This window comes from Homo sapiens, chromosome 3 (genome assembly GCF_000001405.40).
Source record: "Homo sapiens chromosome 3, GRCh38.p14 Primary Assembly".
NCBI lineage: Eukaryota > Metazoa > Chordata > Mammalia > Primates > Hominidae > Homo > Homo sapiens.
Genome location: NC_000003.12, coordinates 102,641,564 through 102,667,293, shown reverse-complemented (window position 1 = coordinate 102,667,293; position 25,730 = coordinate 102,641,564). Strand labels below are relative to the sequence as shown.

Sequence of the window (25,730 nt, the reverse complement as noted above, 5' to 3'; positions counted from 1 at the left end):
CCAAATGATTGCTTTCAGAAATGAACAAGTTGATCTGGTCTTGAGGGAGGAGGAGGCACAGGAACACAGTAAAGGAACCTATCTGAGGAGCTGCAGACATGAACCAACAAAGGTATCACATCATCCAAAATGCATGGCGTGGGAATAGGAACAAGTATATCTTTCTTCCCCCACAGTCCTCTCTATTCTCAAAATAAAACAAAAGCAACGAACAAACAAACAAACAAACCCTGCTTCACTTTGTTGTTTTTGTTGACTCCCAGGTTCACAATGGGGGGATTTCAGGAAGTTTTATATAAACAGCTGCCACCAAACCAAACTGGGGTCTTCTTGCCCAGTGCAGGAAAGCCAGACACTGACATCAAGATTTGCAGTTAAAGAAAACGGCATTTATTGCATGGTGCCAACCAAGCAAGGAGGACGGGCAGCTAATGCTTAAGACCCAAACTCCCAGATGGCTTATAAGCAAGGGTTTTTCAAGGTAAGGATACATTCCAGGAGAGCAGAAGTTGTAGGAAAAATCATAAATCAATACATGGAGGTTAGACATTGGTTTGGCCCAAGGGTGTGATTCTCTCCAGGCCCCTCAGGAAGAAATGCAGAATGAAGAACAGAGACCAGAGTTCAGTCCCCAGGTCTTCCTTCTCCGAGGTCTATGTGATAGCAGTTGGCATTTTCCATTTGGTGGGGATTTCTGAAAAACAACCCAAGAACATATGTTAAGATTTTAACTTTTTGTTTCCAGAGGAACCAAAACACCTTTTGACGTTGGCTTGCTTAGGAGACTATTGTTAATATCCTCTTGCTTATGTGTTTGCTCACTTACTTTTCAAGGCTAGCTAGGTGCCTAGAATTTACCTTGAAGGGACTCAAGATTTTTTTCTTTATTTCCATGCTTGTGGGGACCTAGCAGGCCCCTAAGAAGGGTCCCTGATCCATCTTACAGCTGATAAAATCTCCCTAGAGGAGGGTAATTTGAAGGGGTAAAAAGACTGGCTAAAATAAATGAAATGTTAATTGTTTTCAAATACTTATACTGTGAGTTAATATAAGGTCTACTCTGAATTTGTAAATAGATTAAAATAATTTGGAATTACTTTTCATTAAGATACACTTTTCAGATGTTAACTTTTCAACACATATGTGTAGTTAAAATACATATAATAGGTATAAGTATAATGGAGAAAACCCAGGTGAGCTGAGCAAAAGTGAAAAGCTCTCAGAAATGTAAATTGGCAAAGTGTTCAACATGGTGCAACTGTATGATACCACTACTAGGAAGGCTGAAGGGAGTCTTAGGCTGCATTCACTTATTTGTTTATTCAACATCATTCATGAAGTCTCCAGCTTGTGCCAGGCATAAAGACATAAGGGGAATCTAGTGATGCATAACACATTGTCCTTGTTTCAAGAGCTTAGCATTTTCTGGGAAAAACAGATATAAAATTAAGTAATTAATTTACCATTCAATAGGACACATACCAAAATAAAGATGCATATATACAGTGACATTTCAGAAAAGAGGAAGGGGAAGAGGAGAGGTATTGAAAAAGATGGCCTAAATTCTAAAGAGTGAATAGGATTCCTTCAGGAAAAAGAGGCTCAGAGGTGGGAGGAGTGGATTTTAGAAGCACGGTTTCCCAAAAGAAGGATGATGATTCTTCTGTTCAATTTGGTTTAGGTCAAACCCCACCTGGAAAATGAATTGTGTCCAAATGAGACCCCTTTAATGACAGGATTTGAAACAATCTCATTATGAAACAATTGCAGTCAATGGGAATCCTGAGTCTTCAAGGAAGTAAAAAGAAAAAAAAATCTCTGTTATCCTCACATATTTAAAGATTCTCATATAAAAGCTTCTCCGAAGAGAACAGCTTGTCCTGTTTAGCTTCAAAGAAGAGAATGAGGAGGAAGGTCGAGGGAAAATTACAGAAAAGCAGACTTTGACTTGACACGTGGAAGGACTTCTCACTAATGCTATTCCCAAATACAATGAGTTGTTTCCGTGATTGGAGGACTTGAAGATGTATAAGTTATCCACAGGGATGTTGCAGAGGAAATTTGACCATCATATGGGTGAATTAACTGATATCTATGATCTTTATTTCTCCTGAGAGTCCATAAAAGGTAGTGTAAAACCAGCCCAAATAGTGGTTTACAAGTGCACTGGGTATGTTATGTAAGATTTCTGCTTTCCTGATGAGGCCCCAAAGCTGAGAGCAATGAATGATACAACAAACACAGCATCCCCACAGAATTTTCTAAGAGGTAGACAAAATTGGCTCTGCAACCTTTAGCCTATGGTCCACCACTGCCCTATGTAAGGAAAGGTAAGAAATTCAAGAGAGATTAATCAGAGAGGGAAGGCAAATGGAATGAAATTAGTAGAAATAAGGAGTACTGTGGCATTTCTCTTCCCTTTGTATAATGAAAGAGAGGAGAATGTATCTTCTCCCAAATTCCAAGCTAAGTGAGAGAGGGCAGAAAACCACCTTCTGAGAAAGAAACTGACGATCCGTCACAGGGAAGAGATATCGACCTCCTTACTTAACATTTTTGAGCTTGATTAGAGGATGATGCATTAGATGCCATTATAGGACAAATGTTTTATGCAGTGAGATAATTGTTTGGAAATTTGACGTATACCTCTTGGAATCTGAGGAGCATGAAGATCAGTGTATGACTCTTGCCTGAAATCAAGGAGAAAGGAAAACCCTGTCAATGGCACAAATTTCCAAAGTTTGGGATGACAAGGACATGTGAGTTTTTCTGTAAGCCAAATAGAAACTATAGAAGGGAAATGGGCTACAGCCATTATGAAAATGAGATAGGAGAGTTCCCTTGACCCCCTTGTGGGACCTGCAGCAGGGGTGGCTCATTTGCTTGACCACCCACTCAAACCCCTTGCAGAAGAGGGAGCATGCCGGTGAGCAGGTGGAGGAGCCGGGGTGAATGCCTTTGGGAACTGACAGGAACAAACCCTGTACCAACCCGTGGCAGCATCTAGGGGTTGCCCGTGACCTCTGGAGCCCCACAGGGCATGTGTTACAAACAATGCTCTTCTAGCATTTGCCGTCTGCAGATGGCTAAGTGTTAAACCAGCTCAGTGGAGGGTCACGATGACAGCCTTTTACACCCTGCCCTATTGGTACCTGGGTTCTTGTCTGGCATCCAGGAAGAATCAGGTCACATAGACTTGAAGGATGGTAAATTTGGAGATTTTATTGAGCAGTGGAAGTAGCTTTCAGTGGGATGGAGAGCTGGAAAGGGGATAGAATGGAAAGATAATCTTCCCCTGGAGTTTGGCCATCCCCAGCCAAACTCCTCTCCATAGTCTCTGATGTCCAGCTGCCTCTTCTTCTCTTGACATTCAGACACTTCTCTCTTTCTCTGCCAAGCCACTCTGTTCCTCTGCCAGTGGAGTTTGGGGTTTTTATGGACACAGGATAGGGGGTGTCATGGGCCAAAAGGTAACATTCAGGTGGGAAAATGGGGATGTGAAATTCTCATTTAGGGCCATGGGTCCAGGCTCTAGGGTAGAACCCTTGCCAGAGACCCTGCCCTTTTCTACCTAGTATTTCCCTGCCTCCTCTCCATAGCAAAAATGTTTTGCCTTTAAGGGCTTCTTCCTGGCATGAGAAGACCCCAGAATAAGACTCTGAGCAGGAGTTGGGGAAGAACTCTGAGTTCCAGGATAGAGGTCTTCAACATAGGTGCAAGAGACTGAGAGTAGGGAGTGTTTCTTAAAGACACACAAGTTTTCCATGAGAGAGCACTGTATAGCAGAGACCACTAAAAGAGCACTGAAGAATAATAAATAGCCAAGAAAGTAATATTTTGCCTTTCCCCTGATTTCCCTATTCTTCTTAGCCAGAAGAGCCTGAAGCAATACTGCAAGTGGGTGCTTTGGTACTGCTTTGAAGCATCTTTCCAGACTCTGCAGTAGCCAAGGCCTGTGACTCCAGTCCCTGAGAAAGTACCATCAGGAGCAATACGTAAGCTTTTCAGGGACAAAGAACCTTGTCCTCTTAATCTGGATTCACAATTCACAATTATACCCCTAGCCTGCCCAACGCCTTTTTCTCAGTCTCTGAGAAGTATTGACTCTCTTTTACCTAAGAGCAGGAGTCTGAAAACTACAGCCTATGGGCCAAATCTCTTCTGTTGTGTCCCACAAGGTAACAGTCGCAGTTACATTTTTAATTGGTTAAAAAAATCAATCAAAAGAACAACACTATTTTATAAGATGAGAAAGATATTTAAAATTCAAATATAAATGCCGATGAATAAAATTTTATTGGGACATAGCGATGCTCATTCACTTATGTATTATCTATGACTGGTTTCACATGGCAGAGTTGAGCAGCTGTGAAAGAGCCTATTCTTAGGCAAAGCCTGCAATATTTGTTATCTGAACTTTTACAAAAAATGTTCTCAATCCCTGCCCAGGAAGATTGCCTGAGTCTGTCATCTTACCCCAGCAGCATCCATCCCTTTGTAAATAAGACTTTTGGTAGAAATGGAAACAATTAAAAATATTTATATGCTTTAAAATAATACATTTAATAAAAGGTATCTAAATCCTTGCATATATGACTGTAATACTCCAGTGTGATATTAATTGCTGGTTGTTTAATTCCCTCATTTTAAATGACAGCACAGAGTTTAATCATGGGCATATTCTCAAAAAGCATTCAGAAATAAAGTCCTTATGGGTGTTGCCCCTGACTATACCACAACTCTGAAAGCCACATGGTGGATTTATTTAACCTCCAATTTTTGGGAACACTTAGTAGCATACGTGGGCTAATATTTGTTATGGCTCAATTTACTTTCTCTCTTTTATCCTGGGGAAAGGAATACTTTGCTCCCACACTGTGAGGTTTCTGAGAAAGGGTGAAAAAACTATAATCATTCACTTCTCTTGGGCAAGGTGGGAGTGAAAGAATAACCAATAAACAAATATATCAAGTGCTCATCTGTGCAGAATGCTGCATGCTTAATTTAGTTAAATATACACATACATAAAAGGCACAGCCATTATTCCATCGGAGCCTGAGCCTGAAATCAGAATATGAAGGTCAAACTGGGGTGTATTTCTGATTACAGAATGAAATCCTCAGACCAGCTGCTCTGTGTGTCCCACTGGGCTCAGTCTTTCTCTCTAGTCCATCTTTGCTTCCATGTGCTACTGGTTCTGGAGTGCTATAGGGGCCCTCAGAGCATCATTCTTGCCTCCAAACCTTTGTTCGCTCTGAACCATCACCTGAGGTCCATTATCTGCTACATTCCTCTTAAACAAATTTTATCCCACACTCAAATGCTCAGAACAATTCCTACTTCTTTAAAAATATCTCTGCTTGGAGTATTCCGTAGACTCCTCCTTGAATTTCATATTAGCATTTCAACCGTTGAGTTTAGTCTTCTTGTATATCAAGTTTGCATTTTCCTTGAATATTTTATTTGTACTAGTCATAAATTTTCAATTAAATGGGAGCTCTTCATGTTAAAGGCTGCATCTTTATTTCTAGTTAAAAAGTCATACACACACAAACACATAGTTAATTTTCATTATTCACAGATTTCATATTTGTGAATTTGCCTGTTTACTAAAATTTATTTGTAACCCCCAAAACAATACTCATGATACCTTCACTGTCATTCGTGATCATGCTCGAAATAGTGAAAAATTTGAGTCACCTGATACACACATTCTCTGTTTTCTTGTTTCAGCTCTGTAAACAAGTTCTTGTTTCATACTGTAAACAACTGTATTTTTTGTGGTCTATTCAATGGCATGGTTTTGGCTTTTTAGTGCCTTTTGTTAATGATTTCACTGTTTAAAATGCCGCTAAGAATCAGGCTGAAGAGCTGTGTAGCATTCCTAAATACAAGAAGACTGTGATGTGCCTTATGCAGAAAATATGTGTTAGATAAGTTTGTTCTAGCATAAATTAGTGGCTGTTGGTTGTGAGTTCAATGTTAATGAATCAACAGTGTATATTAAGTAAGAAATTTTTAAACATAAGTCAACCTAAATCAATGTTATTGATTGGTCAAGAAAAATGTGTGACTAGAGGCTCACAGGAACCTAACCCTGTATTTGCCCTAGGAGCAAGTGTTCAGTATTCACCAATTCAGTGTTTGCAGTGATATTATAGAATATAGCTGCTGTGAATAATGAGAATCAACAATATATACATTCCCACCCTCCACTTCAAGAAAAGTGGAGCTGGTGGTGGCTTCTTGGGCATTTGTCTGTACACCTTATGGACTCATGTACTTACAACGCATAAGTCTTCAGTTGCTCATTCCCCCATTCTAGGAGTCCTGTCCATCTCTGAAAACATGCTGCTGATGTTGGATTAATAGTTAGACAAACAACTAAGAAGATCAGAAGTAACATGCTACTTTGGGTGTTGCAAAATGACTGGACGCTACCTGTCATCAAACCATAGTTTACTCTCCACTTCAACATAAATCAATAGCCTGCTTTTACCTCAATGATCAGTTGCTGCAGGGGAAAAAAGTAAGCTTCAATTTAGACGCTGTCAAATATATGGCCAACTTGCCACCTCTCTCTTCTCCTTGTTCCTGGAACATGTTGCTAATTGCTATGGTGTTCCTGCCACACTCTGATGTGATTATGGAATCAGCCTCAGCACAATGCTATAGGCAGCCACTAATAAGGGATTGGAGTGGGGAGGCTGATTGAAATTGTTCCCCAAGACAGTAAGCATAATATGTTCTCATCTGCTTTGATAGACTCTAAATTGTATACACAGTGTGGATTTTGTGATACTCAATAAAAAGCTTCTAGGAAAGAGTCCTGAATGGGTTGTATATTACCAAGACATCACATGTAATACAAGATAGTGGCATAAACATGTATTGGCTCCTACTGTGGTTAGGCAGTCTTCACAGTGTATACAGGGAATGTGCTCGCAATAACCCGTACCACCAGTCAACGTTTTCAAGAATGAAAGTTCATCCTGCTGCTTTTCATTGCAAAGAATAGTGAAGTTAGATCACTGTAATTACTATGCCCTATTTGTCCTCTCTCATTTCTCTCCCCTAAACCTGGTTCCTATCATTGCTGTGTGGGATCTCCATTTATAAGGAAGCTCAAAATGCAAACATTGATGCATTTCTTTTATTATATTATAACATCTAATTTAGAATTTACTTAAAATTGTTATAAAATCTGTTGGACAATGCCAGAAGATATAGCGATACTCTGAATAAATGAATAAATGAGTGAAGGATGCCTTTAAATAAATATGTAGATCAGATTTTTATGAGATATGTTTATTTTGACAGTCCTTTAAATGAATTGAATTTAAAGACTGTTCGGGAAGAAGTTTTTCTTTTATCCACTGTTGCCTTTAACAAATTATGTTGAGTCTTCCTTTTCCATCTGTTGAGGCTATCTTGAGCAGATGACATAAGTTTCCTGGTATTAGGATACTATCTGTATCAGATTTAAGTAGTCCAGTTCAATCTAAAATATAAATAAAATGAAATTCTGTCCTCTATACAGTTTAAAGTTCTGCCTCTCTCATATTGAGCCTGGACCAAGACATCTCAGACAAGTAATAGGAAAAGGGGATGGGCCTGCAGTGGTTGTTCTTGCCTGTAATTCCAGCAGTTTGGAAGGCCAAAGCAGGAAGATCACTTGAGCCCAGGAGTCCACGATGATCCTGGGCAACATAATGGGACTCTGTCTCTATAAAATATTTAAAACATTAGACAAGCATGGTGGCATACACCTGTAGTCCCATCTACTGGAGAGGCTGAAGTGAGAGGATTGCTTCAGTCTGGGAGGTTGAGGCTGCAGTGAGACGTGATCATGCCGCTGCACTCCAGCTCTGGTGCCACTGCACTCCAGCCTTGGTGACAGAGCAATCTCTGTCTCAAAAAAAAAAAAAAAAGAAAAGAAAAAGAAAAAAAAGGAAAGGAAAGGGGGATAGCCTCAGTTCTTTCAGTATTCCTTACTTCAATTCCTTATCCACTGGCTCTTTTGCTTCATGCTCTTCTGGGTACAAGGAGAAGTAAAACTAGAGGAAAAGGCAAAACATTACTTGCCTAGCTATTTATTATTCTTCATTGCTTGTTTAATGGTCTCTGTTACGCAGTGCTCTCTCAGGAAAGGCTTCTGTGGATTCTCAAGAAATACTTCTGTACTAGTCCATTTTCATGTTGCTGATAAAGACATACCCAAGACTGGGCAATTTACAAAAGAAACAGGTTTATTGGACTTATGGTTCCACATGGCTGGGGAGGCCTCACAATCATGGCAGAAGGCAAGGAGGAGCAAGTCACATCTTACGTGGATGGCAGCAGGCAAAGAGAAAACCTGTGCAGAGAAACCCCGTTTTTAAAACCATCAGATCTCGTGAGACCCATTCCCTATCACGAGTACAGCATGGGAAAGACCCACCTCCATGATTCAATTATCTCTCACTGGGTCCCTTCCACAACACGTGGGAATTATTGGAGCTACCAGATGAGATACGGGTGGAGACACAGAGTTAAACCATGTCAATTTCCCCCTTTAGTCTCTTGCATCCATGGCTGAACACCTCTATCCTAGAAATTAGAGTTCTCCCTCAACTTCTGCCCAGAGATTTACTCTGGGGTCCTCACATCCTAGGAAGAAGCCTTTGAAGGCAGGATCTTTTTATATAGAATCTAATTCTCTTCTGCAGTCTCTATTATTTTTACAGGGAAGCTCATGTGTTTTTGTCCTACCAAACTCCGGAAATGTGTGTCATTCACACAGCTTTCCACTCTCCTTGATTTTAGACAACAGTTATACATTGGTTTTCATGCTCCCCAATTTCCAAAAGAATTCCCCAAAAGGCACTGATATGGTTTGGCTCTGTGTCCCCACTCAAATCTCATCTTGAACTGTTAATTCCCATAATCCCCATGAGTCCAGGGAGGAACCAGAAGGGAGGTGATTGGATCATGGGAGCAGTTTCCTCTATGCTATTCTCATGATAGTGAATGAGTTCTCATGAGATCTGTTGGTTTCTTGAGGAGCTCTTCCCACTTCACTCTTTTCTTTTCTCTCTCCTGCCACCTTGTGAGAGGTGCCTGCTTCCCCTTCTGCCATGATTGTAAGTTTCATTAGGCCTCCCCAGCCATGCCAAACTGTGAGTTAATTAAACCTCCTCTGTTTATAAATTACCCAGTCTTGGGTAGTATCTTTATAGCAGTGTGAAAATGGTCTAATACAGTGTAAAAATGGTCTAATACAGGCACAATCTCTAGGGACTGGAGTCACAGGCTTTGGCTATTTTAGTAGCCAGAAAAGTTCCAAAATAGTACCAAAATTATCGTTCCATCAAAAACTGGAAAGCTAATGCTGCCTTTTAAACCAGTACCCCTCAGGCTTACATTCTTAATTCTGGCCTATAAATTCATAATTTAGTTAAATTATTCTCATTGGCCCTTGACAGACTCAGTCACTGTAAAACTTTCTTCTGAAAAGGGCAATAATTTTGGATAAAGGGCAGTGGGAGGAGACTGTAGAAGTTGGAGCATGGTGTCTGGACCCCTGGTCATCAGATCATCCCTAGAATAATAATCTAAGGAGAAGGCAGAGATTTTTATTACAAGAATTCTAGCAATAAAGACAGGCAAAGCTGAAAAAAAGTGACTTTTGCATATGGTAAACAATATGGTTTTGTTTTGCAAAGATAAACTCTGTAAACCAATCTATTTTACCCATTGTGTTATATGAAGTCTTTTTCTTCAAGAGATGTGATGGACTTAGAGTATTAGATTTATACCACACAAGACCTTTAATACTGACCAACATTTATGACAGGTTTATAGATGACTGAAATGAGGCTCAAACGTGCTGTGTGACTTGTTCAAGCTAGCAAGTGACAAAAGCAAGAGTCAAACCCTGTCTACCTGGCCACCTTACATTATGCTGACTCCTTGCTGACTTATAACCCAAAGACATTAGTAAGTTACACCACTCTCTGAGAGTATGAGGACATAAAGTTTCCAGGATCCAACTGAGAACCAAAGTAAATTTCAAAAAACCTCCAAATAGTTCCAATAAATGCAAATGTCAAGGAATTCAGTACCTTGCACTTTCCTAATGGAAAATTTCACCAGTCATGAATCAGAGATGCTCCCCACTTTGATTAGACATCATTTTAATCAATTTGGCTATCTGGTTTTCTAATTCCAAGCAACATATTATAAAAGAAGTCAGGGAGATCCTGGAGAATAGCTGATTTGATAGCTTAACAACTGGAAAGGAAGCAGAAAATAATTATGACATAAGGATGCAAACTATATAGCTGTCTGGGACCATTTAGTGCAGTGACTATACTCTGTTTTATATTGTGGTATAGTAGTTAATTTTGAAAATTAAAATGAGTCATCAAGAAATGCTTAAGTGTTGCTTATCATACTCTGCTTTTTAGAAGCAAGAAAGTTTGTGAAACGCTTTTGAATTTTTTAAATCAAAACTAGTTTAAAATGTTAAAGAAAGTTTGCAATCTTAAAAATGATATATGTCAATTATGGGTAAGTCTTATTCTACCACCTAGCAACACCAGGCACTTTTTCATATGTGTGAGTTCAGGCCAGGTGACCTTGGTAACTATCTCAATAAGTGCTCAAAGTAACTATAAGGCTGCCTATAAGGGCACTGTATATGCATGGAAAGCCCTAGAACTGAGCCAAAAACTCCTTACCAAAGGATTAATGCTTGGAGGCACTATAACAAAAGAAAAATGTGAAATCGGAAGCCAGGAAACAGAGTACAAAGTCAGCAATCATTGCTTAAAGTTGAGAAGTTGAGGCAGGAGAAATGTGAACTAGACAATGGGAAAAATCAAGATAAGTCCCAAAGATACAAAAGGATATTAAAAAGAGAATTTTGCATATTAGAGTGTTTCACTGTTATATGAAAGCCAGAATGGTGCTTTTCCCTAGTAGTAGACTCCACTGGTCTTCATGTCTGCTCAAACCCCATATATAATGAGCAACTCTGGAAGCATCTCCAATCTACTCCAGTGCCTTTGTTTTGCAGACTCCTGGGTTTAACTCTTTCCTTTTACTTTCTTATTTTGTGTGGGGGTGCTGGACAAGATGGCCCCAAACAATTTGGCTCAGACTATACAGTTTATCTTTTGATAATGTGTATTCTAATATGGCTTTGTCTCTAGTCCAAGCTTCTGCCTCACTATTCTACACAAATGTTTAAAGTTAAGTTGTGACATTATAAGAATTATAAAAAAAAGATACAGATATTATATTAGACTTTGCAATATATTTCTCAGGTCAAAAATTCTCTCATGTCTCCATAAAAACATTATCTCAGAAATACCAATATCTCAAATATGTAAAAAGTGCACTGTGGGTAAGAACCAAGCCTAATCTAGCCTAATTGATTTTCTGCCTTGGTGATTAAATATGTTTGATTGCCATAAATTAAAGCCACACCCCAATGTTTCTATACTCCAGTTAAAAATCTCTAAAGGTAATGATGGCTCAACTATAGACTCCCCAACTATTTACTCTTGTCTTGAACTTACATTGCTAAGAATGTAATTGGTAAAGAAAACAATTACTCAACAACCTTTAACTTTATTTCCAATGTATTTCTAGTTAATTTTTTCTAACTACTTTTAGAGCCCTTTTCCATGAGACCATCTGTAGCCCCTTCTCTACCTCTGTGTTCTTAACCTTCTAAAGTCCTGAAGAAATGGTCATTTCCAGTTTATTACCACACTTTTCTGCTCTTGATTGGGTTGCAAAGCCAGAAAAAAACGAACACTAAAACTTCAAACAACCTTTGTGTTTGGTTCAATTACTCATTTAGAAATATAATAATAAGATCACTAATACATGGGAAGTCACCATACTGGCTTTTACTAATTCACCAGTCTACTTTATTGAGCAAATAAAATGTGAGTTCTGTGAAAGCTGAGACTACGTCTTTCTTGTTCATTGTGATTTTAACACCCTTTACAACGTGGAATTAATGAATAGATCAATAAAGTAAATGAAAGACTAAACCTTGTTAATACCATACCCCATCACACAATGCCACTCCAGCCCCATACATATATAATGGTTAAATATATTAATATCTAGTAAATACGTATGACACCAGAAATATAAAGCTTTCTTCCTATTTTCTTCTCGTCTTTATAGATAGAACAATGGCAAAGTCCTCTAAATGCTCTAGAATAATTAAGTTAAAATTATATTAACTTGAAGATTAAAAAAAATACTTCAACAGGAATCATAAAAACAAAGAGCCAGTGATAATTCTATATAAAAACCTGGTTTTCTAATCTCTTTAATAATCCTACTACCCAGTTTTACCAAGAGGCGGTAGAGCACAGAAGGCAGTGGTATGGACTCTGGAGTCAGATGTCTGTTGCTCATCTCCACTAATATCTGTTGGCCTTAGACAGCTCACCTAAAATCTCTGGCCCTTGGTTTATTCATTTGAAAATAAAATAATCATAGAATTCACCTCATAGGATTATGTGACTGTGCTTGTTATTTGTTTATTGTGTCTCAGCCCCAATACTCTCTTCTATCCTCTGCTCTATAGTACTCTGGGGAAGAGTGCTACAAATGACACTTCTCATCCTCCTCTGTCAGTGGTCATCTTATTAGGCCCTACCAATAAGAGACACAAGAGGGATGTTAGAAGATAGAGGGAGAGAGAAAATACTTCTTTTTGATTTTGGCTAGTTTGTCAGCATTCTTCATTGCCATTTCTTCAAGCTTCTAGCTTATTTCAACACACTTGCCCCCTTAGAGATATAAGCAATAACCTGTCCATGCCATTAACTCAGAGAATGATCTCTATGGGGCTGTTTCTGAAATTCATAAGATGTGGTTGCAGCCAAGAGATTCCTCTCATCAAAAGGCTGAGCACCCTCCTGTGATCTACCAGATTCTAGTAACCCCAATGTCCATTGTTCTCCTGAATGTGAGGGGAGGGATTCCTGTAGCTGCTTTTTGTAGTTATTATCTCTACTGTGTAATGGATTTTCTATATAAAATAGCCCCTACTCAAATGCAGAATGTGATTACTATTTTCCTGACTGGACCCTGACATGCAATAAGTAGATATCTGTAAAATTCTTTGAACAGTGCCTGGCACATAGTAAGTGCTTCTTATAGCATTGTTATTAGTGTATTGCTGACTTATTTATCAGGACAACAGCACCTCATTCTTAGTTTCTGCAGTTGGGAGAACAGTAGCTGAATTTAGGAGAAAAGCTGAAAGTTATTATCTCAGTAACCAATGTGAATGAAACACACAACTTTATAACCAGAAAATAGCATGTAGTAACATTTGCTAAAGAAAATAAATTGTGGCTTCTCTAGCACTCTGTGAGGACAAACCTTTTTTTTTTTTTTTTTTTTAACATTTCTAACCCATCACAGACTGGTGTATAGTTCCCTGGGCATGATCAAAATACAGCTTGTGTTATCCATGACACAGCACAAGAGGTCAACACATTAAACTATTGTATGCCCTGTTCAACAAAACAAGTCCACCAATCATGGACTTGTTTTGTTGTCTTGATTTATTTGCGCTACTACAACAAAATATCTAAGACTAGGTAATTTATAATCAAGGGACACTTATTCCTCATGGTTCTGGAGGCTGGGAAGTTCAAGACCAAGGCACTAGTAGGATTGGTATCTGGTAGAAGCCAGGTCTTCACTTCCAAAATGGTGCCTTGTTGTTGCATCCTCTGGAGGGGACAAACACTGTGTTCACACATGGAAGAAAGAACAGAAGGGCAAGAGAGTGCCCCCCTTCAACCTCAAGCCTGCTTATAAATGTGCTAATCCCATTAATGTGGGCTCTGCCCTTGTGACTTAATCACTTCCCAAAGACCATACCTCTTAATACTGTTGCATGGGGAATTAAGTTTCAAAATGAATTTTGGAGGGAACATCATCATTCAAATCATAGCAGAGGTGTGACAATTTTATATTGCCATAAAAGTTTTTAAATTCTTACTCTCATATTCTATGCCTATCTTCTGTGGACCGGTTCCCAACAGTTTGAAGTGGCCCGGAATGCACTTTTAGCCACACTGCTTTGTAGTAATTTGTAGCTGTCTATTCCTTTTATTAGCAAATTCCCCCAGAAGAGAATTCCAAATAAAAAAAAAATTAGCCAGCCATGGTGGCATGCTCCTGTAGTCCCAGCTACTCGAGAGGCTGAGACAGAAGGATTGCTTGAGCCAAGGAGTTTGAGGCTGCAGTGAGCTACGATTATACCACTGTACTCCAGCTGAGTAGACAGAGCAAGACCCCATCTCCAAAAACAAAAAGAGAAAAGAAAATTCCAATTTTGCGGGAGGCTTTATTCTTTCCTGATATGACTGTGAATCCCCTTTAATTATAGGGTTTTCAAACTACACAGAGAGAAGAAAAGCTTGGACTACCTTAGAAAACATGTAATTTGTGGGCTTCCATTTCAGAAAGGAAAGCACACAAACAACTATTAGTATATTTTATGTCTGGGGTTAAAAAAGTGCTTCACCTCACTTTCCTTTTCCCGAACAGGAACTACTACCCATTTCATACACTTTCTAATCTTTATACTTTTGACATAGGATACTTTGTCCTATAATGCTGCCCTGTGTTCCCCACACAGTTATCCTTCTAAGCCCAAAACAAAAGCCATCTATTTCATGAAGTCCTCTCTGAACCCCAATAATAGCACGTATATTTATACCCATATACTTGACACATACTGTCTGATACCATAGGTTTGTTGTTATGATACTGTTTTGTTTGTTTTTTAATTTATGGCTTATCTTCTTTAAAGGTTGTTAGCTCCTTGGGGCAAGGTCTCTAATGAAACTTTGTGTCCTCCTAAGAAACTGCATGTAAGGTTCCCCAAAACGGTGTTCTCTAAATGCAATATTACAAGAACATAGAGTACACAGAGATGCCCATATTCATTGAGGAAGGCACTGGGAGAAGGAAGCATAATAAACCCCTAAATTTCAGCATACTTTCCAGATTTTTGTAACCAAACTATATTAAGACCAATGCTTATAAAGCATTCAGAAATCCTTGGATGAAAGACATTTTATGAAAAGTAGAATACAGTGAAAAAGTTCCAATTAGGAAAAAAAGAGGAATCATGAGGTAAGAATTTATTGATATTCTAAATTCTACAATTAAAAAATTACATTTTTTATTTTTAAAGTATAATAATAACCGAAAATCTTAAAACTACAATTTGTGTTAGGGAATATAATAAAATGATCGAGTTCCAGACTTCACATCAAGAATTTTTAAATATTTCAATTTTCTTCATCCAAAATTAGTGGATAAAAACTTCAGATTTCTCTATTTATAAATAAATAATTTGCCAGACAACATGAAGGATACTTCAGTATCTATCCAAATTATTTAAAATATTTTAATCTTAATTAATGGTTTGTCTTTTTAATGTGAAAACATCTAAGGAATAGAAAAAAATAGCTCCATTCAGAGAATATGATAAAAAAAAGTGTGTATGTATATATATATATATGTACACACATACATATATATATACACACATACATATATATGTTTTGAGTTGCAGCCCTATAACTAACCAACTTTAAAATTCTCATAAATTTGTTTAAGTTCTTTGTAGATTCTGGATATTAGCCCTTTGTCAGACATTCTGAGCAAACTATCGCAAGGACAGAAAACTAAACACCACATGTTCTCACTCATAGGTGGGAACTGAACAATGAGAACACTCAGACACAGGGTGGGGAACATCACACACCGAGGCCTGTCATGGGGGTCAGGGGGAGCATTAGGAGAAATACTTAATGCAAATGACGAGTTGATGGGTGCAGCACACCAACATGGCACATGTATACCTATGTAACAAACCTGCACGTTGTGCACATGTACCCTAGAACTTAAAGTATAATAAAATAAATAAATAAAATAATAAATAAATATTCTCTGCATATCTATATGCTTATCTAAAAACTATATGCTTATCTAAAAACTAAAAATGAGATTTAAAAATACATGATATATATAAAAATACAAGATATATATGTTTCTTTTCATTAGAAATCTTAAAAAAGTGTTTTTCAAATGAAAATATTTTCCTAAGACGAGAAGCATCAGTGATTGCTGATCTACAACAATGATAGTTTTTGGACTAAATCACATCTTTTAAACTTTTAAAGGTGATAGGAAGGTAAAGACTCAAGCTAACCATTACAAAATCTGCTTGGCGACTGCCATGTTTGGCAGAATTATTCTAACTCTAACCCTATCAGAATGCTCTTTTCTACAAAGTGTATTTCTTTGCAATTGAATCTTCCTCTATAAGCTCTTTGTAAGCCGTATGTATCTCAAAAATATATTTTGACCTTGACTTCAATTTGAGAAACATATTTCATGTTGTGGTCCATTTTCTTGCAGTAGAGCCTATGATAGTGGAAGCTTTTGCATAGGTAATTTCTGGCTATTGCTTCATAAATTACTTAGACTGCCCCTTTTCTAGGAATGAAAAGAAAGTTACATCCATTAAAGTTTCTCAGAGACTACACTAGCAATCCACCTTGGTCTGTGTATTTCCTGCCTCTTTGTAGGTATTTTAATGCCTCATTTACTATGAATATTCCTCTAGTCCTTCAGAATTATAAAGTCCATGTAAATTAGAAATCAAATAATAAGATTCCCATTCAAATGTGATTAATCCTGTGTAAATATTGCTGAGGATAACGGTGACAAACCATCTTTTGTTTGGGCCTTCCTCCTGGCAGGGATGTGCATGAGTATCAGCAGATAGTATATTCATCATACGATTAAGGAAATTAAAACCTATGCCCATCCTGACACTGATTTCAGAGGAGGTACATGCTGTTAGCACACTTTCTTGTTTGCTTATTTTGCTTGATCTTAATATCAGGAATTACATATAGTTACCATGAGTATCTAGGTGAGTTCCTATAATAACAACTGTTATTATTACAACTTCTAGAGAAGGAGAAGCTATAGAAGGTGTTCCCAGGCCCACTGAACTGCCAGAAGTATATTTGTAAAGGTGGGCAAGGAAGGCTTTACCAGAGTTGTGAGCTTACCAACAAATCTCTATCACAAAGGTGGGAGGTGGGAAAATTGCATGAACAACATTATTTAGTCATAGGTAACAGACTGACAACATCTGAGCCTCTGGGACCCTTCTGTTCTAGTAACTTTAACTGCAAGAATTGTCTTTTGCCAAAGGTGTGTGTGATGGTTAATATTGAGTGTCAACTTGATTGGATTGAAAGATGCAAAGTATTGTTCCTGGGTGTGTCTGTGAGGGTGTTGCCAAAGGAGATTAACATTTGACTCAGCGGACTGGGAAAGGCAGACCCACCCTCAATCTGGGTGGGTACCATCTAATCAGCTGCCAGCATGGCCAGAACAAAAGCAGGCAGAAGAAAGTAGAAAGATTAGACTGGTTTAGTCTCCTGGCCTACATCTTTCTCCTGTGCTGGATGCTTCCTGCCCTCGAACATTGGTCTCCGTTCTTCAGCACTGGGACTTGGACTGGATTCCTTGCTCCTCAGCTTGCAGACGGCCTATTGTGAGACCTCACCTTGTGATTGCGTGAGTCAATACTCCTTAACAAACTCCCCTTTATATATGCATCTACCCTATTAGATCTGTCCCTCTAGACAACCCTAATACAGTGTGGTAGATAATGCATATATAATATACTTTATCTCTAACTGTATGATAGCAGTTACAGCAATTTGCTTTGTATTCCAATTTTTTTTTTTCATTTAGTAGAAATACTAGGTGCCAAGAATAAAATGGTAGCCCAGTAGAAGAATCAAAAAGCTATATGAATGTTTCAAATGACAGCCAGAAATTATCTTAATAGAGATATGTGCAATGTACACTAGTAGCACAAAGGAAGGAACAACCAACTTTCCTTAGCACGGAAGGAACTTCTCAGGAGAAGAGGATATAGTTGGGAAAGTTCTTTGAGATGAATAGAAAATTCCCAACCAGACATTTGAGTAAAGATTGATTTTTAAAAAAAGCATTCTAGTTAGAGGGAACAGAATGCCCAAAAGCAAAGTGGCATGAAATAGCATAAAAGATCAAGATCAGAGAACTACAGGGGAAAAATTAGAGGGCCAATAATGGTATTCAGTAATTTGGTGATTTATGCTCTTGGCAATAGGAAGACTCAAATGCTTCCTTAAAGCAATGGAACAGTATGATCATATTTGCCTCTTGGTGAGATTACTCTGGCCAAAACATGTACAATGGTTAAGTGAAGCCATATTAAAGATAAAACGAGTGGCTTGGAGACTTGTAATAATTGAAGCCTGATCCAAAGAGGGAGAAAAGGATGAAAGGAAGGGACTAATTTGAGAGACCTGTAGGAGGAAAAATGGACAAATAACAATGAGGCTAAATCAGATGGATTTATTTATTTGTTTTGCACTTGGTGTGGGCACTTTCCAAGTCCCTCAGGATTGTTAAGGCAGACTTTATACAGGAACCTCACAATAGGTATAGGAACCACAGCAATGGAATTTTGCACTGAGAGAGAGAGAGACCAGACTCAACTTCAAATATAGCACAGTCAAGTTGGAATTTGTAGCCAAGTAGCAGGGTGGGGGTTAGTGGATGTGAAATTACTAAGAGGAAACATGAGAGGCAAGGGAGATTCTGGCTAAACCAACCTAACAGGATTCTTGCTGAAGACAGACCAGGATGATCCATTGGGTGATGGGGGAGGATAAAGAATTTGATTAGACATTGAGTGTGATCAGATAATCGGGGATAAAGGATTCTAACTAAACTAAGCAAAGTTATTTGCTAAAACTAGATTTTTTAAGGAAATGCACAGGTGGGCTTAGGAGAAGATTCAGGTGCCTGACTAAAGTTTGACCAAGCAAAGAATCCTTGTCAGGATACAACTAAATTGAACAGACACGGAACTTAGGGTCTAGCAGGATAGACTGAACATTAAACAAGCTTTTACTATGAAATGCAAGTACTATTATAGGGTAATATGGGTTGCTACTGCAGCAGACTACAGAGTCTCCAATCCTAGAAGGGAGTTCAGGGAATATTTTCCAGGGAAAAGAAAATCTAAACTGAGACTTAAGAAAGGCTGCAGTGAAGAGGGGTATAGGGGAGACTTGCAGAAAGAGAGGAGAGCACTTGAAAAGACCTTGATGTGAGAAATTGCTCAATAAGAGAGAGAACCTAAAAGAAAAGTGTGCAGAGATAAGGACAGGCAAGAGAGGTAAGCATATGCATCAATTTAAAAAACAATAAAAATTCATTAAAAAGGCAGGAAACAACAGGTGCTGGAGAGGATGTGGAGAATTAGGAACACTTTTACACTGTTGGTGGGACTGTAAACTAGTTCAACCATTGTGGAAGTCAGTGTGGCGATTCTTCAGGGATCTAGAACTAGAAATACCATTTGACCCAGCCATCCCATTACTGGGTATATACCCAAAGGATTATAAATCATGCTGCTATAAAGACACATGCACACGTATGTTTATTGCGGCACTATTCACAATAGCAAAGACTTGGAACCAACCCAAATGTCCAACAATGATAGACTGGATTAAGAAAATGTGGCACATATACACCATGGAATACTATGCAGCCATAAAAAATGAACAGTTCGTGTCCTTTGTAGGGACATGGATGAAACTGGAAACCATCATTCTCAGCAAACTATCACAAGGACAAAAAACCAAACACCGCATGTTCTCACTCATAGTTGGGAATTGAACAGTGAGAACACATGGACACAGGAAGGGGAACATCACACTCTGGGGACTGTTGTGGGGTGGGGGGAGGGGGGAGGGATAGCATTAGGAGATATACCTAATGCTAAATGACAAGTTAATGGGTGCAGCACACCAACATGGCACATGTATACATATGTAAAAAATCTGCACATTGTGCACATGTACCCTAAAACTTAAAGTATAATAATAAAATAAAATAAAATAAAATATATATATAACATAAATTAATGTATTTAATATATTACATTAATTTTATAATATGTAGTAAATATACATTAATAAAAAAATTAAAAATGAATTGCATAATCTCTCCGAGAGAGAGAGAGAGAGAGAGAGGTCAGTAGAGGCCAGAACATGGAGGGTCTCAAGGCAATGTTAAGAAGTTCTGCATTCATCTGAAAGGCAATGCTGAGCCACTGAAACATTTGTAAGCACAGGAATGGTATGTATATTGGTATTTTTAGGAAATCATCCTTGATGTGAGAACTCATTGCAGGAAGGGGCCAGCTCTAGTGTTTACTATGTCATGGTACTCATCACATTTTGCTCAGTTGTATCAAAAACTGTTCCTCCAACTATACTAGATACTTCGTTAAGGCAGAAAAATGTCTTTGTTGTTTATTATTGTTTTCCTAGGCAGATGCTTAATAATTATTAAATGAAATTAAATGAAATTTAAAAGAATAATAAATTTAATAATAAATTTAAAAATAAATTTAATAAGAATAATAAATTTAAAAACAAATTTAATAAGAACAATAAATTTAAAAGAATAAATGAATGAGGTGCAATTAGTATGGCATTATAGGAGACCACAAAGATAATGTGGATTTCTTGACAGGAGTAGGCGTAGCAGAAATAAAGGTAACTGAACACATTCAAGAGATATTTAGAAGTAAAATTGACAGGTCATTGAAAGAGATGGGAATAAATTTATGAAAAGGCAAGAATAGTCTCTAGCTTCCTGCCTCATAAAATTAGGATGATAACAATACCATTGTCAATTGTCTCTCCTTAGCCATCTAACTTTATTTCTCATACTGCTTCGACCCGCAGCTTCATGCTCTTCATCATTTCCACCCAAATCATTCCCGAAACTGCATTGCAAATCACAATTAGCAGTTGCCACCAGATTGTAATCAGTTTCCCTTGAGCTCCTTAAAATCAGACTTAAAACTCACATTTTCCAAAAATTTAAACAAAGAAAAAAGTTATGACAAAATTAGAGAAAGATTTGTAAGCAAGGGTAAGAAGGGAAAACACAGCTGAAGCTCAAATGAAAAATGAGACAAAATTGAATGGCCTTCACCGTTAAACATTATCATTGAGAATATATGATGTATAAGACACTAGATAGAGATAATTTAATAATTGCATTATGTTATTTCAAAGATAGGGCACTTATGTCCCATAATGCATAGGTGTATAAAGAATATAAAGCAATATATAATAAGTGCCAAATGAGACGTACAGAGAGAAAGGTTTATATGAAGTCACGATGTAAACACTCTTGTGTACTGAAACACAGGGCAAATTGAAGAAAAGACCTAGGAAGCCCCAGATGTCCTAAATCTCTTCTCAATAGGGCTTTGGATCTCTGCTAACAACTATGTCAATTGCTGTTGAGTGGATTTTCCATCAGGATAATATGATGCACTCCAAGTTCAGTGTTTTTGCTCCAACCTGCAGCTGGCAATATTCCTGAGCAGGCATAGCTAATACCCAACAGCTGAATGTATTTGGATTGTTATTCAAAAATATTCATGGTGCCAAATGTGAGAAGCACTGATATTCATGCTACTCATAAAATGAGCAAATAAGTTATTTAATTTTTCTAGCCCTTATAATCTCAGCACTCTCATATCCTCTTTGCCAAAAAAAAAAAAAAAGGTGCTATCTGGAGACATGGGATAAAATCAGAACCTGTCATCAGGCATACAGAAATTAGACTATTGCCATTAATATTTCTCTCTCAGTTTGACATGTTCACCTTAATGAAAATACCCAAACAGGAAGCAGTTCTCTTCTTAGCTCCTGGAAAAATAGAATGCAAGTTAAAAGCTCCTAATGCTTTTAACATGATTTGTCCACTTTGGACAGTCTAAGGTGTAATGGGAGAAGAAATAAGGAAAAACGAGAGAGATGAAAAAATTGAGAGAAAAAGGAAGAGCAGGAGGCAAAGAAATGACATAATGATTTTTTAAAATCATTTTTGCTGGTAGTAGCCAAAAATGGAAATGTAAAAAGAAAAAAAGCAAGATACCTAAGAAATAAGCCATACTACATGTCTGCATATCTCTTTTACATATGAAACCTCTGTGTGTTTGTGCATATGTGTGTGTGTGTGTGTGTGCATGTGTGTGTTTTGCTGGCAAGATTGGTGTTATTTTTTAGTGTTAATGGAGAAATGGCCAACAACTGTTTCTTCCTGCCAAAGATATTCTCCAAGCAGCAAATTAAATATATATAGAAGAAATGAGAACTAAATGTGCCTTTTAAACAAGAATTCCAGAAAGGGGAAGGGAGATAGGTTAGCAAAAATACACAAATCAAAAACTAACACAGAAATGAGATGGAATAGAAAAAGGAAGGATACACTTAAGTGATACTGGGAGATCCAAATGTCCTGAAGGGAAACAGAATTTAAAATGTAAGAATGTAGGAATTCAAGAGAGAAATATGGGATATAATAACTATATGGAGGTGTGGTCTTTGATAGCTAGATGTCTTCATGTATTTTATTGCTACTTTTTTATAGCAAAGTTTTTATCAATTTAAAATGAACAAGGAACCATAATCAGACTAGCTTTTGCTAATTAAAAGATAAGAGTTTTTCAGCTTATCTTCCATAAGACACTGCAAGCCAAACCCTGTTACAATTATGGAAACTTACTGAGATCTCCCACTCTTATAGCCACCTTGTGGGTCTTTATAGTAAGATGTGGTGGGTAAAGCAATAAGAGAGGCTTATTGGAGAAGCATGGGTAAAAGGGAGTAGTTGACTCAGTTTCCAAAGCAAACTTGAACCAAAACAACTGAGTTAACACATTAACATAAAACTGCCTGTGCATGTCTGTTTATAAAGTCAGAAAAATCAGCAAGTATCTCATTCTCTCTGATTTTTGCATGGCAAAGATAGCTTGTGTTCGGCTCCCTTTAAAACTATAAAACATGCAATTAACAATGGAAATCTGTCAGAAAAATAGGTGTTTTCCACATCAAAGCTGTATTTGAAGAAGTATGGTAGGATGGGATGGAAGGAGGAGGTGAATAAAACTAAATTTGAAGTCCAGTTCTTTTCTTATTCATTGTATGACTTTTGAGTGATTACTTAACTTTTCTGAGACTTGTTTTCCCCTCTTACAAAATTAAGACAATAATACCTATTTAGCAAGAGTGTTTTAACACATGAGTGCATGTAGTCTGTTGATTTAATGCATACTTTTGGAGCACCTTCTATGGGCAAACTGTCAATACTTGTGAAAACATGTATTGATGGTTCAGGGTTGAACAAGCAGAAATGGTCCCTAACCTCATGAAACATTCTATGACAATATAATAAATACATAGATGCCCGATAAATTCCAGCTAATATATTATCTTTTGAAGACGTAAGACATGCACTCAGAGTGAGAGGAATCCCACATACACACCATAAACTACCATCTGCAGGTAGATGGATTTTTACTAAATGGAAAACAAATGTAGATGATTTGGTGTAAATTGTGCTGTTTTGACAGATGTACAGACAAGATTGAGAGTAAGAAAACTGGCTGATGAAAGAGGTATATGAGAAAAATATGTCTGACTTTATATGTATGTATGTGGCTTCTGTAAAAACCCATCGCGATTGCCCTGTTACATATTCAGCAAGATTTCCTAAATTGAAGAAGCAGGTACAGGTTGTGTTTCTGCTCCCCTATGGACTCACTGTGAGTATCAAGAGAAGTTTCAGCTTAATAAAAACAAAATCGAATTTCTCTCTAGGCTGGTGAATAGGTAGCGTTATTTTAGCCCACTGTAGCAGCAGAAAATTGACTTGATCTCACAGTCCATGCTCATCACAGCGCTAAGTCTGGGGAAAATTTCTTCTCCCATCAGGTAACTACAGAAGCTGCCAAAAATAAGAACTTTGAAATTGAGGCTTGTCTTACTTTTGTTTTCAGAAGTCTCTGGCATTTAACTCCAGCTTCTTGGGATGCTGTTTTGCTAGTAGGTAATGCCTCAGAGTAATTATTTCACCCAGAAGAAGAGCCTTTGCAGAAACCCTAAGTAAATGCTGCAAAGCTTGCTTCCTTCATTTCCAAGATTCTGTTTAGGATGTTGTTATTACAGTGACAGATTTGTTGAGCTGGCCTCAAGTTCCAGAGGCCATCTCTAAGTTGAGGCATTAGAGGAGTTCCCAAGAAACCATTGCTCAATTTTGAAGAAATTAAAAGTATGATTAGTTTAGAAATCTCTCGGACAGCAGCAGCCCTATCTCCATACAGGCCAGCAATTGCAAGAGCCCAAATGGAATTTCTTACTGATATTTCAAGAGCATGTCAGCATCTCTATGGTATTTTGAAAAAATAAAACGAAGAAAGTTCAGGGAACAAAGGCTGAATAACTCTTTCCTTGGGAGATGAAATAAAGAAAAGTAGAATGGAGTAAAGGAGGCAAGGAGAATGAGGAAAGTTCTTTACAAGAATATATTTCTACAATAATCAAAAGAGTCTCTTCTTTGATTTTTTGGACAAAGAATCTATTTATGGACAGAAGATATATTTGTATCCAATTCAGTAAATGATACACCAAAGAGAAAAGAGTAGTCAATACTGTTTATTGGAGTTTTGGTGATTTTTATTTTCTTATTTTGCCTTTGATACATTCTCTTTGTACTAAAATAGTATTATGTCTAAGTTGGGTAAATAAGTATGTAGGTTTTAAAATAAGACAAAAAGATAGTCATGATGAATGTGTTTTGTTCCATGACCACTGTCAGGTCTTTCTCCTCAGTCAGCCCCTTGTGATGTAATTCTTTACACCTAGCCCACTAACTCCACATTAAATTCAGGACCTTATTATCTCTACCAATGAAGGAGGCAGAGCTGCAAGTCACAGAAAACACTAAACAAGTATAATAAAAAGGGGAGTAATTTATATAGTAGCAGGATAAGGGCTATGTCTTAGAACACAAAACCAAGAAAAGCAATAGACCTGAAAAGGGATTAGAACCAATAACTGGAACCAAAGTTATACTCTCAACCTGTCTAGGTTTGTTGGTCTCTCATCTCTGCTTCTTTCTATGTATGCTTCATTCACTCTTTCTAAAGTGTCGTCTACTTTTCTGTTCACATAGTGGAAGGTTGGCAGACTCTTCCAACTGGTTCTATTATGCCTCATAGTGGACATATGGGATAAATAGAGAGGGTATGATGGCAATTTCAAGCACTGGCCCCTGTTCATTAGGCAGTCGTCCATCAGCATACAAGGGGGTTGGTTCCAGAACCAGCTCAATATACCAAAACCTAGGAATACGCAAGTCCTACAGTTGTCCCTGCAGACCCTCTGTATATAAAAAGTTGGCCCTCTGTATACATGGGTTTTGCATCCAGTGAATGTCACAGTTTCCATCCAAGTTTTGTAGAAAAAATTCCGTGTATAAGTGGATCCACACATGTTACTCAAGGGTCAACTGTACCTGGATTTTTATTTCTTTCTGTGACAGTAAATTCTCTTCTGATGTCTCCAGGTAGAAATCTTATAGGTTCTACTGCTCTGTGATACGTTACCACCATGAAGTAGTCAAATTTGTTCATTCCTTCTAGGCTTCTTTGGCTGAGAAAAAACTTGAACTAGGACACCCATTTTCAATGTTCGAAGGTAATGAACCCTAAAGATTCATCCTTCCACTCTCCAAAATGGCCA

The 25,730-nt window shown here is 37.7% G+C and overlaps 2 long non-coding RNA genes across 8 annotated transcripts in view; one reads left to right on the top strand and one right to left on the bottom strand.

The window, feature by feature from the left end:
* The window catches only part of LOC105374016 (uncharacterized), a 137,553-nt gene that overhangs the window by 38,292 nt on the left and 73,531 nt on the right, over positions 1-25,730 (top strand). For 4 of the 7 annotated variants that reach the window (XR_001740818.2, XR_001740823.2, XR_007095988.1 and 1 more), the window contains 3 exons: positions 19-112; positions 1,682-2,759; positions 3,871-5,595. This is a non-coding gene — a long non-coding RNA (uncharacterized LOC105374016). Of the gene's footprint in view, positions 1-18; positions 113-1,681; positions 2,760-3,870; positions 5,596-6,325; positions 6,416-25,730 lie in introns of those variants that run through there. The other 3 variants (XR_924286.4, XR_001740822.2, XR_001740824.2) reach the window with 3 other exon arrangements.
* Positions 104-6,371, bottom strand: LOC107986106 (uncharacterized). The gene is made up of 3 exons (XR_001740827.2): positions 6,288-6,371; positions 492-694; positions 104-355 (listed from the first exon to the last, which is right to left on the bottom strand). It is a non-coding gene; the product is annotated as an uncharacterized LOC107986106 (long non-coding RNA).